We start from the raw sequence: 11,802 nt of genomic DNA on the forward strand, positions 1-11,802 counted from the left end.
ACCGCTGAAAAGTATTTCTTCCAGTCTGTCTTTCATCTTTTCATTCCCTTGAGTGTCATTTAAAGAGCAGAAATTCTTAATTTTGATGAAGTCTAATTTATCTACTTTAAAAAAATGAAGCGTGGTTTTTGATGTTAGAACTAAGAAAACCTTGCCTAACTCAAAGTCACAAATATTTTCTCCCATTTCCTTCTAGAATCTGTGGTTTTATGTCTTAAATTTAAAACACCTGTGATTCACTTTGAGTTAACTTTTGCATATGGGGCTCAGTATGGATTGAAGTTTATTTTTTGCATGTGAATGTCCACCCAAGAACATCCTTGTCTCCTTCCACCCCATGGTCAATAACTCCTCCTTTTTGTTATTAAAGTCCCTTCTGCTTGGCTCTGTGGTCAGTGCCGTCCTGGCTGGGGTGTCCACCTTACTCTGCCACCACAAGATGGGAAAGCAGGGATGCTGGTGGGGTCCCTTGAGCCGGCAGAGCCAGCGTGTCTGGTCCCCATTTGACCCCAGGGTGGGCTGGATCTCTAGGGCCTGGGCCTGTGGCCACTCAGGGTCTGGAAGCTCGAGGTGTGTTGATTAACTGTCAGCAGGTTCAGATTTACAGCTTCTGTGGAGCAGGCGCCTGAATGCCAATGAGCAGCCCTGCTCTTCTGAGCTGGGTCACAGACTGCCGCCTCCATGCTGCTGCTGGAGATGATGTCTGTTTGGTCATCTTAAAATCCAGGGATTTTAAAAGGCTGCCCCTGTTCAGGATGTATCCACAGTTCATGGCCATCATGCATGATGGAGCAGGAAGCTTCACTTAAAAGAAATGTGTAATGCTCTGCATCATAGACCAGTGAAATTGTTTTCTTACTGAATTTGTCTATATTGTTAAAGAAAGAGAAATAAAAGATGAGGTGTTTAGAAACAGCTCACCCAAGTGTGAACAATTAGTCCTTTGGGGCTGTCCCCTCCCAGGGCAGTTGCTGAGCTGGGGGAAGCGCCCCTCCCTGAGTACTGCCCAGGCACTGCCTGTCTCTCTTGGAAGCAGAGGCTGCCAGATCCCGATCAGGGGGCGGAGTCTTCAAGGTGCCTCACCATGTTCCCTGCAGGATCTGCCCCCCAGCACCTGCCCGTTAAGGCAGCTTCATCAGCCAGGGCTCCAGCCGCAAGAGGGAACGGGGAGGGACTCTGCCCTGGGCTCAGCCGTGTGTTTGTCTGATGGCAGAAGCAGCTCCCGTGCAGCCTCCAGCTCACAGGCAGCCATGGGGTCACGTTGCATTTGCATGGCAGAACCAGCGGGAGGGTCCCTGCTGGCAGCTCCTGCCTGGTCCCCTCATCCTCAGCACAGCATCGTCCTCGTGTTTCTTGGTGCACAGCATGGCCTTGGTCCTGGTGCTGGTGTGTGCCTCGCTCTTGCTGCTGGTCTGCAGCAGCTGCTTGCTCATTTCGTCCCTTCATTGTTACATCTGTGGCTGCCACCCAAAACAAACACTGACCTCTGACTTCGTGGCCCATCCCATCCCCTCCCCATGAGGGCTTTGTGCAGTGCTTTGTAGCAGACACGTTTCCACAACGCAGACTACTAACCGCTATACGATCACGGCAGCAGACACATTTCCAAAAGGCAGACTCTTTAATTGTGTTTGAAATCTTTGTTAACGGGCATTTTTTTGGGTGTTTGTGCTTGGAATCACTCTGCAGGGATTCAGCCATGTGCACCCTCCAATCTGTGACCTCGTGCTGGGGCTTTACCTCCCCTCTGGTGGACATTTGGTTATTTCCAGGCTTCTGCTTGTTACGAGTGCTGCTTCTTGAACATTCCTGTGGAGTCTCCGGATGCGCTGGTGCCGCGACTCCTCATGGGTCACATTAGGAGTTGGAATCTTCGACTTTGGGAGATGATGCCAACCTCTTTTCTGGTTCCTATTGGCTTTGGAGCTATTTCTCTTTGCTCTTTGTTTAGAATCTTTCTGTTTTTACCAAGGGCGAAGGTGTTTCTCAAATGTTACTGGGTGATTTGCACAAAATCTCAGAAACTGAACGACTGACTTGAAACCATGAGTCCCCCTCCCCGCTTTATTGCTCTATTGTCTAATTTATTCTTTTCAGCCAGCAGCTTACAGCCTGCGGGCCAGCTGTCTTGCAATCTATAATGCAACCATCTTGGTTAAAGCAATAATGGATCCTTTTACTAGCCTGGCCATGGGGCCGTTAATAGGGGATGTCATTATTAGAGAAGCCGATTTCAGAAAGGGTAGCTGGGCATCGCTGTGGAGGCCTGTGAGAACAGCTGCCGCCACCAGATACAAAATGAAACCAGGAACCCATGGAGAACAGGCAGAAAGTGTGCGCACGTGTGTGCACACATGCCAGTGTGTGGGGGGAGTGTGCCTGTGCATTTGGTCATGGTGTGTATACACTTGCTCCTGTGCCCTGGGTAGTGTGCATGTGTGTGTGCACACTGTGCATTTGGTCGTGGTGTGTATACACCTGCTCCTGTGCCCTGGGTAGTGTGTGTGTGTGTGCACACTGTGCATTTGGTCGTGTGTGCGCACCTGCTCCTGTGCCCTGGGTAGGGTGCATGTCTGTGCACACTGTGCATTTGGCCATGGTGTGTATACACTTGCTCCTGTGTCCTGGGTAGTGTGCGTGTGTGTGTCCACACTGTGCATTTGGCCGTGGTGTGTGTGCATCTGCTCTTGTGCCCTGGGTAGTGTGTGTGTGTGCACACTGCATTTGGTGGTGTGTGTGCACCTGCTCCTGTGTCCTGGGTAGTGTGCGTGTGTGTGCACACTGTGCATTTGGTTGTGCGTGCGCACCTGCTCCTGTGCCCTGGGTAGTGTGCGTGTGTGTGCACCTGCTCTTGTGCCCTGGGTAGTGCGTGTGTGTGCACACTGTGCATTTGGTTGTGTGTGTGCACCTGCTCCTGTGCCCTGGGTAGTGTGCGTGTATGTGTGCACCTGCTCTTGTGCCCTGGGTAGTGTGTGTGTCTGTGCACACTGTGCATTTGGTTGTGTGTGAACCTGCTCCTGTGCACCCGCTTCTGTGCACCCACTTCACTGTCCCACCTGCCACCTGCACCATCAAAGTGGCTTCTGCCTTTATTATTTATTAGGGAGCTGTAGAGCCAAAATCAGTAGGAGGGTGACCCAGAGCAGAGCACCACGTGCCTGAGGACTGTCCCAGGATGGGAGGACCATTCCAGCATCCGTGTGAGCCACATGGGGCTCCGCCGTGGTGGCTGGGGAGAGGATGACCTCAGAGGCGGCCCTGGGCAGACAGGGAGTTGATAACAGCACTGGTCCCCTCTGTAGAGTTGAGAGAGACCCCATGAAGGGGGTAGAGGAGGAAGAGGGAGGAGGAGGCACAGCCTGTGTCTGGGTAAGGTCTGTTTCATATTTTCCCCAAATCAGAGCTTCAAGAAAAAAATACCTTGACTGTGAGCAGAGTTAGTGGCTGCCATTTGTTTCTGTTTGGTTTGAAAATGTTTGGCTAAAGTTTCTCAGACAAAAGAGCATATGGGGAAAGGTCCTGTGCTTGGCCCTCACTCCATGTCCTATCAGCTGGGAATCTGTGTATTTGTGGGGCGGTGTTGGGGAAGAGCAAGGATCCAGACTGCAGGGTCTCACCCCCTCCCAAGCGGCTCACCCTGTGTGAGAACCCTGGGGTTGCTTGTCTCATGCACATTTTTGGAAACTGAGGCTGTAGGTCCCGAGCCTTCCAGTGGCATTCATCATCTGTTGATTCTGAAGCAGGCAGAGTTCCGGACCCCAGGAAGGTTCTTGTCTTCCTTGCCAACTGAGTTATGTTTCCAAACAGTTGAGATCCCAGTGGAAATTTCCAGCACACACAGACGGCAGGGGCCTGTTCCTCCGGCTCTGTTTTGACATCAATCAGAATGCTGTTTCCTGATCCATATGTACGACTACGTCTGCACGTGGTACCCATGGTGGTATTGATGAGGGTTCTGCCCTGCAGCTTTTAGCGAGGTTCTGGTGCCTTCGTGCCCGTGGGGCTGGGGGCCCCGACCTGTGGAAACACCCTGTGTCAGCCCTGGGTGGTGCCCCAGGCATGCTGCCATCTCCTGTCCCTGCTGCCGCCCTTGGCACTGTCCAATGAGCCAAGTTCATGATTGTGGTTGTCAACTTGTTCCTACACTTCATCAGCTATCCTCGTTGCAGCCCAAGATAAAATTACCCAGGCTTTCCCCTCCAGCGTGAAGGGCAGGGGCCCTCAGTGCTCATCCTCCCCCAGCATCATGCACGGTCACGGGGCTGTATTTGTTGACGGGACTTTTGGGCTCCCCGGGCTCTGAGCTGGTTGGGGCTCCACCTGCACTATGCCTGAGCTCCCCACATCCTACCTCTCTCCTGTCACTCGAAGCTCAGCCACCTGAGCAGCACTTTCCTGCCCCCTCCCTGAGAACTGGGAGCTCTTGGGATGAGGATTATCTGGGTTTCTCCCGCGGAACCCTTACTGTGGCACTGATACACTCACATAAACATTTGCCACGTGAATGGCCAAGTACGTAAAAGAATGCGCTCCCTGAAGGCAATTCGCAGCCCCATGTTCCCCCCACCCCCCACACTTCCAGGCAACAGTGAAAGCAGATGTTCTGGGGGTCCCCGAGACCACCTGCATCTCTGGGGACTCGCTAGGATTCACAGGACTCAGCACACAGTCACACCACAGCAGGGCCACACCACGGCAGGGTCGCACCACAGCAGGGTCACGCCACGGCAGGGTCACACCACAACAGCCACACCATGGCACAGCCACACCATTATCGCAGCCCTATAATCGGGAGGCATGGCTGGATCTGCAAGGGAAGAGTTCACAGGCACAGCCTGGAGAGGCCTGTGAGCAGACTTCCTGTGCTCTCTCCCCTCCCATGCTCTTCCCCCTGTGAGGTGCACACGGGGCACACACTCCCTCCAGCAGCAAAACACAGCCCCATATATGCAGTGTTTCTGCTCGGGAAATTCCAGCTAAGACCCAAAATTCATGGTTTTGATTTGGGGGCTACTCAGTTGTGCGCCCCCCACCCACTAACATGCCAGGCCCTCAAAAGGAAGGCTGGTGTTTGCCATGAATCACATTGTTTGCACAGTCTAGGCAGGAACCTCCTCACTAAAGGAATGCTTCGAAGCCAAGTTCCCAGACGCCAGCCAATGGCCACCGTTGCAAGCAGGCACTTCTGCAGCTAGCAGCCTCAGGCCTGTCCACAGAGACACTCTTGAGTGAGGACCCTGGGGTGCCAGAGCTTGCTTGGGGGCATTGAGGAGCCCCATGGAGCCACAGAGACCAAGGCCAGACCCATGGATGGCTGCCTCCCACCTGTCCTGTGCCTGACATGGCTCCAGTTTGGATGAGGTCCTCAGCTGACTGTGAGGGACAGTGCCCAGAAAGGGGAGGGTGGGTGGGAGGGAGAAGATCACGTTCCCTAGAAGAGACGGAACAGATGGGGTAGGGCGGGAGGGATTTGGGAAGACTGCAAACCTGGAAGCAGAACTGTGTGTGTGTGTGTGTGTGTGCGTGCGTGCATGCGTGTGTGTGCGTGTGTGTGTGCGTGCGCGTGTGTGTGTGCGTGCGCGTGTGTGTGTGCGTGTGTGTGCGTGTGTGCGTGCGTGTGTGCGTGTGCGTGTGCGTGTGTGCGTGTGTGTGCGCGCGCGTGTGTGTGCGTGCGTGTGTGTGTGCGCGTGTGTGTGCGTGTGTGTGCGTGTGTGCGTGCGTGCGCGCGCGTGTGTGCGTGTGTGTGCGTGTGTGTGTGTGCGCGTATGCATGTGCTGTGAGTGGTGTGTTGTGTATGCATGTGTGTATATATCGTGTGCATGTGTGTGCTGTGTGTGAGTGGTGTCTTTGGGCATGTGCATGTATGTGTATGTGTTGTGCATTGCATGTGCCTGTATGTGTATTTTGCATTGTGTGTACACATGTACAGTGCATTTGTGCGTATTGTGTGGGCATGTGTGTGTAGTGTATTGTGTGTACATGCATGTGCAGTGTGTATGTGCTGTTTGCACATGTGCAGGTATGTGTATTGTGCATTGTGTGTACGTGCACATGTAGTGTGTGTGTGTGAGTGGTATGTTGCGGCCATGGATGGGGCAGAAAGTCTCCTGTTCTGGAAATAGGGCAGTGAGTGGAGTGTGCTGACAATGGAGAGCAGCAGCTGGCTCTGGAGAGGGATCAAGTGACCACAGGAAACCAAATGCTCTGGTCTTGTTCCTTTAATTTGGGGAGTGAGTTTTTAAAATTCAGCATCATATTTTCAACAAGACCTCTGTTCTCTATTTGCATGTGCCTAGTTCATACTCCAGGCAGTTGATCACATAATTCAGAGAGGCATTGACAGGGTGGGAGTGTTTCTGGGTAGGTGTCCAGATCCCCGGCCCTTCTCAGCCTGGAAGTGTCACCGAGGGAAATCCCTGTTTTACATGGGGCTTCACCTTTTCCCTCTGTAAAATATGAGGGCTGGACTGGCAGGTCCCCTTCCTCCTGTACCTTCTAGAGATCGATGGTTCCGGGACAACCTATTTAGAAACGAACCCGATTAAAGGCACAAAGAACAAGGTACTATGTTAACTGCAGCAGAGATTTCAACTGTAACGCTTAATACGGGAAGAAGTAAACATGTATGTGTCATTTGACTACATTTATTTTTCATTCTGTTTGAGGTAATATCTTCTTACTTAGAAGTTAGGTTAAATCAAAAACCAAAAAGCTCTTCAGACCTCTCCTAGATTAGAAAACCGTGGTGTCTCTACGGCCGGGCCCTCTGCCTCTGTCCCAGCGTGCCCTCACTCCCGCCCCTCTGCCTCTGTCCCAGCGTGCCCTCGCTCCCGCCCCTCAGCCCACGTGGCCTCCCACCCGATGCTGCCATGCCCCAGGGACTGATCCGGGGCCCGCCCTTGTGAAAAGCAGATCCTTCATAACTTCTTCAAAAACATGAAAAAATGGAAAGGTAATAAAAACTTTGAACTTAGCAGAGGCCCACTTTCTAAGCAATGAGGGAAGTTGGGTAGAAACCGGGCTGCTGGCCCAGACATGGTGAGAAAGATCCAAGGTCACTTCTGTAGGGGCTTTGTGAGGAGCATGGACTCATCTTCCTGAGAGTGTGGCCTTCGGTGGGTGCCAGGTGCGTCTCCCGGGCTGGAGGCTCAGGACGTGGCGCTGTAGCTGGTGCTGGACCCATGAGGGCAGTGCCTGCCATTGGCTCAGTGACCATCCTGTGCAGAGCCAGTGCCTGGTCAAGGCCCCAACTGCCTTGAGTGCTGACCTGTGGTGGGTCACACACATTCCCCAGGTCGTCGCACTAAACGGCGTTTTCTCCACTCTTTTTCAGAGAGGAAGCAGTGCATTGGTGAAGGCAACGTTAGGTGTGATTTCCATTCCTGCTGGGAGACCCGGGACGCAGCCCGGGAGCTTCGTCCAGCCTGTGGATGGAGCCTGACTGGCTGCAGATGGAACTTCTGTGTCCTCCCACCCTAGGTGGGCTAAGGTTCTGCTCTCAGAGCTGAATTGACAGGAGGTGTGTGTGTGTGCTCACTTGTGTGCACAAGCATGCGTTTATGCATGTTTTCACGCAACCAGAAGAGCCATTCGTGGGATTTAGCCATTTCGAGGCACCTAGAAGTTGAGGCAGCCAGCTGTGCAGCCAGGTGTGACTGTTACTGGCAGCATTGTATAAAAGACACGACTCAGCTGCCGTAGGGAGGACTGGGTTGTCTGGAAGTATTAGGCTCATTTTATATTTGTGTCAGAAGAAATGTCTGACTTTGGGGCAGATGACACGGTGGCTGCGGACCAGGCATGGCTCCCTAGGTTGAAATCAGGGAAAAGCTAATAGTATCAGACAGATATGCTTTTTCTTTGGTGGCTGCAGGATTTTTGCTGGAAAATGCACTATTAATCAGCACTTGTCCAAGAAAGACCCATCCATTTCTGTTGTCATTCAAGCCACAGTTCCTGATTTACTCGGCAAGATACTGGGCCAGTTCAGTGTCTCTAGCTGAGCCTGACCTCGGGGTTTGCGTCTCGAGTCTGAAATCCTGTTTAGTCCTCTGTGCATAGTTTTGTCTCATTTTAACGACTGCATCTTCTTGGCACATTTATTATACTCACAACTGAATGGCACACAATAGCCTTGTGTTAATAAAAGCTACCGTGGCGCTGTGGGTGAACCGCTGGGTTGAAGTCCGATGGACTCTACGATGCAGGCATCCAGAAATATGTTGTAACTCTACCTGGCTCCCTGCCAGCCTGGCCTCCTCCTCTGGGAGAGCTCCTGGCATGGTCCCAATGTGTACCTGCATGGGAACAACAGCTGCATGGGCCAGCTGTTTCGGATCTAAAGATGTGCAGTGAAACTCACATTCCCAGATTCACATCCCTCATGTTTATTTGGGTCATCATGGTTTAGCATGTTGTATATATGTCTGGAGCACTTCATACACCTCTATCCACCACAGACACTCTTAATCACAGTTCTGTAATAATAATAAGGCAAACTATACGGCAAAGAGAAGCATGTAAATATGTACCAAATCCTTATGAAGTTGTAATTGTTTATATGTAAAAAGTATGTATATAGGAACGGGAGAAGGTGCAAGGAATGTGCTGAATAACATCCAAACTGCATCGCGTCTCTGCCCCATTCCTGAAAGCACACATCTAGTTGGAGCGTCAGTTCCTCTCCTTAGATATCATTGTTTTCACTCGTCTATCATAGGCACCTTCTTTACATCTGATTACAATACCCAGCATTTCAGAACTGGGTTTTTGCCCCCAAAAAGGTAAATATGAGCATTTATCACTGACTCCTCCTGGTCCAGTGAGCAGCAGCAGAATTCAAGTATTTAAAAATAAGGTGCATTTCTAAATTGCAGGCTATACCTTCTTTTCCAAACCAATGGGCTAGAGTGAATTTCCTCCAAGTACTTGGGCTGTCTTACTGCTAGCTCTTCTAACAGGGGAAGTCTGTATGAATGCATCACCCCCTAATAAGGCAAGAGGAAGGACCCTGAAATGTTGCCAGAAATGTACTGTTACATCAACATTTACATTATATTAACATCATCACACTCTGTGTTCAACACACAGAACAACATAGATACTTTAGTTTGTCTAAAGTAAAAATCCACATAAATAGCAGATTCCTTTGTTGACACCAGTGTGTTGTTTACCTTGTGCCCATGGTCCAGATTTTGAGCTGGAGAAGGACTATGGCTGTTCCTTAAAGTCTCTGCCCTTGCAGAATCTGTAGCCTTCAGGATACCCCGAGTGCCTTACAGGGCTTGTGAACACCGATACTAGAAGTCAAAAAGAAGAGAGTGCCCAAGTGTGGGTTTGGAGGCACTGACGCATTCGCCAACTCACCGTCATCCCATCCTTGAAACCCTGAGAGAGAGTGTGTGTTTTATCACAGTAATGGAATTCAGTTTAGCCTCAGGAAACTCATATTGTGAATATAGGTATCAAATCATATATTTGTTTACTGTATATTTTTTAAAAAGCTTTATTGTAAATTTATGCAAAAACTAACCGGGCCTGTTTTCTTACGGCGGCATGCCAGGTAGTGTGTGTATTCTCCCAGGCACTCCCTTCATAGTCACCCTCTAACCACGTGACATTCCGTTCCATGCTAAGCAGTATTCACAGGCCTAAAATAGGTTTGTATGGTGATCTACAAGATTTTACAAATATTTTTGTATTGTGATTCCTATGATATATACCAGAGAATTTTTTACTCGTTTGTAAATTATTGTACAGTTTTAATAAAAAATGTTTTAAATCTTAGACGATTAAAGTCCCCTCAAAGGTATTAAAGTTTGAACTGAAAGCCGTATGAGCCATTTCTGCACTTCTGAGTTCATTCTCTGAACAGTGCCTCTGCACACCAGAAACGGAGTCCGCGCCTTCCGCCCACTGTGGAGGAAAGCCCCAGTTCTCACCTGCGAGATCACCTGGAGGGCAAGCTCTGCAGTCGGGTGCCTGGCAGCACCTGGCTCCGGTCGACCACCTGGGAGGCTCCCTCCTGTGGCTGTTGGTCAAATGTGAACCATGGAAGAGATCAGACAGTTAGGAAAGGGACGGAACTTCTGCACGTGCATAAGAACAGTTGGTGATATTTGCCGTGGACGGTCCCACACAGGTGAGTAACAGACATTGCATTAATCATTTAGGGGAGGGGGAGCCCAGAGGAGGACGAAGGGGTGGGAAGCTGCTGGACCTAGCTCTGCTGGCTCGGGCCCCGCCAGTACTCGAGGTCATGGTGACTCAGTGGCCAAACTCTGGCTTTGAAATGCGGACTGCGGTAACAACGCAAAGGCCTGAAGTCTCTGGGTTCGAATTCAGCTGCTGCAGGCTGGGTAGAATGACAGATGGAGTGACAGCATCGCCCGTCACTCCTGTCTCGCCCCAAGCCTCTAACTCGGCTTTAAGGGAGATCAGCAGCAGTTTGCGTGGGCGGGTACACCCCACCCCCGCGCGCCCTCCACACTCGCCCAGGGTTTCGGAGTCAGGGCTTTCTTGTCTGGCGTGGGACGGCCCAAGGGGCCTGGAAATGTGGCCGGGATTCCCACAGCGGTTTCTCCGGTGCGCGCTCCCCGCCCGGCCTTCCCAGCGCCCAGTGTGTCCCGAGGGCGAGCAGCCACGCGTGGCCGGGACTAAGCGAGCACCCAGGGGCCAGAATGGGGCGTTCAGCACCCGCTACGTGGACAGAGCCAGCTCCGCGCAGCGCTGCCGGGCGGCAGGAGGCGGGGGGGGAGGGCGCGGCCTCCAGGTCCGCCCAGTGCACCTGCCGCGCAGACCTCGCTACAGGAGGCTCCGAGACCGGATTCTGTCGCCCGCTCCTGCCGTGACCGCGCGGCAGCCTCAGGAGCCCGCGAGGCCTCTGGCCCGGCCCAAGCTTGGCTGCGTGTTCCGCTGCGTGGAGGACGCCTTCGAGAGCAAGACGCTGCCGCTGGACGCTCTGGGCGGCGGCCGCCCGGGCCCTCGGGTTGGGAGGCGAGTCTGCGCGGCGCGCGGAGACCCCTCAACGGCCGCAGCAAGTCCCCGAGGGCAGCCCGGCGTGGCCCAGGCCCGGGACCCCCAGCAGGTAGTGGCCGCGGGACAGAGGCCGTGGGCCCGGGCTCGGACTCCCCGAGACCCTCGCACCCGGAGGACGCCGGGCGTGGGGCTCCCCCGCTCCCCCCTGCGGGGTCCTCCCTATCCGTAAAGGTCCTGAGCCTTCTGGGTCCTGCGACCACCCCCCACCCCCGCGAGGTCCCGCCCACCACCGCGTCCCGGTCCCTGGGGAGCGCGTGCGCCTCCTTCTGTCTCTCTCTCTCTCTCTCTCTGTCCTATTCGGGCCCCTCCTGCCCTCCGTCTCTCGCGGCCAGCGTGGAACAGCCTCGCGGGGTCACAGCCTGGCGCTCGGACCCTGGCCCGGGTCATCTGCGAAGGAGCCGGCTTTGGCCAAGGTGCCTTCCTGGACGGGTGTGGTTCCCAGAGCGTCGCGGCCCGGGGTTGACTGGCTCGGAATCCCGGGGCCTTGGGCGCCTCGCGTCTCCTGGGACCTGGGTTCCGCGCTGGAGGGCAGCGGGGGCGCGGGCGGGGCCTGGCAGGACGTGGCCGGACTCTCTCCCTCGCCTCCCCGGGGTGCAAACCCCGCGCACATCAGCTGGAGCAGGTTGAAATCCCCACCCAGCGCTCGTCCGCGGGTCTGCGCGGGGGCCCGGGGTGCAGAGATCAGACCCTGCAGCGGTTCCAGCGCTGGGGGGGCTTTAAAGCGAAGGAGTGGCTGAGGGCGGGGGCGGGGCTGATGGGCGGGGT

At 53.5% G+C, this 11,802-nt stretch overlaps 1 protein-coding gene and 1 long non-coding RNA gene across 54 annotated transcripts in view; one reads left to right on the top strand and one right to left on the bottom strand.

The window, feature by feature from the left end:
* Positions 1-9,835, top strand: part of JAKMIP3 (Janus kinase and microtubule interacting protein 3) — a 148,495-nt gene extending 138,660 nt beyond the window's left edge. For 35 of the 45 annotated variants that reach the window (NM_001392043.1, NM_001392055.1, NM_001392044.1 and 32 more), the window contains one exon: positions 7,334-9,835. The gene's annotated coding sequence lies outside the window, so the exon portion shown is untranslated. The remainder of the gene's footprint in view (positions 1-7,333) is intronic. The other 10 variants (XM_011539676.3, XM_047425106.1, XM_047425107.1 and 7 more) reach the window with 1 other exon arrangement.
* Positions 1,603-11,729, bottom strand: JAKMIP3-AS1 (JAKMIP3 antisense RNA 1). Of its 9 annotated transcripts, none has more exons than NR_184041.1 (5): positions 10,800-11,729; positions 9,942-10,030; positions 9,174-9,299; positions 6,438-6,521; positions 1,603-4,017 (listed from the first exon to the last, which is right to left on the bottom strand). It is a non-coding gene; the product is annotated as a JAKMIP3 antisense RNA 1 (long non-coding RNA). The 9 variants fall into 9 exon arrangements; NR_184043.1 differs by having other exon boundaries at positions 10,220-11,729; NR_184042.1 differs by lacking the exon at positions 6,438-6,521.
* Between the last annotated feature and the right edge of the window lie 73 nt (positions 11,730-11,802).

This window comes from Homo sapiens, chromosome 10 (assembly GCF_000001405.40).
Source record: "Homo sapiens chromosome 10, GRCh38.p14 Primary Assembly".
Taxonomy (NCBI): domain Eukaryota; kingdom Metazoa; phylum Chordata; class Mammalia; order Primates; family Hominidae; genus Homo; species Homo sapiens.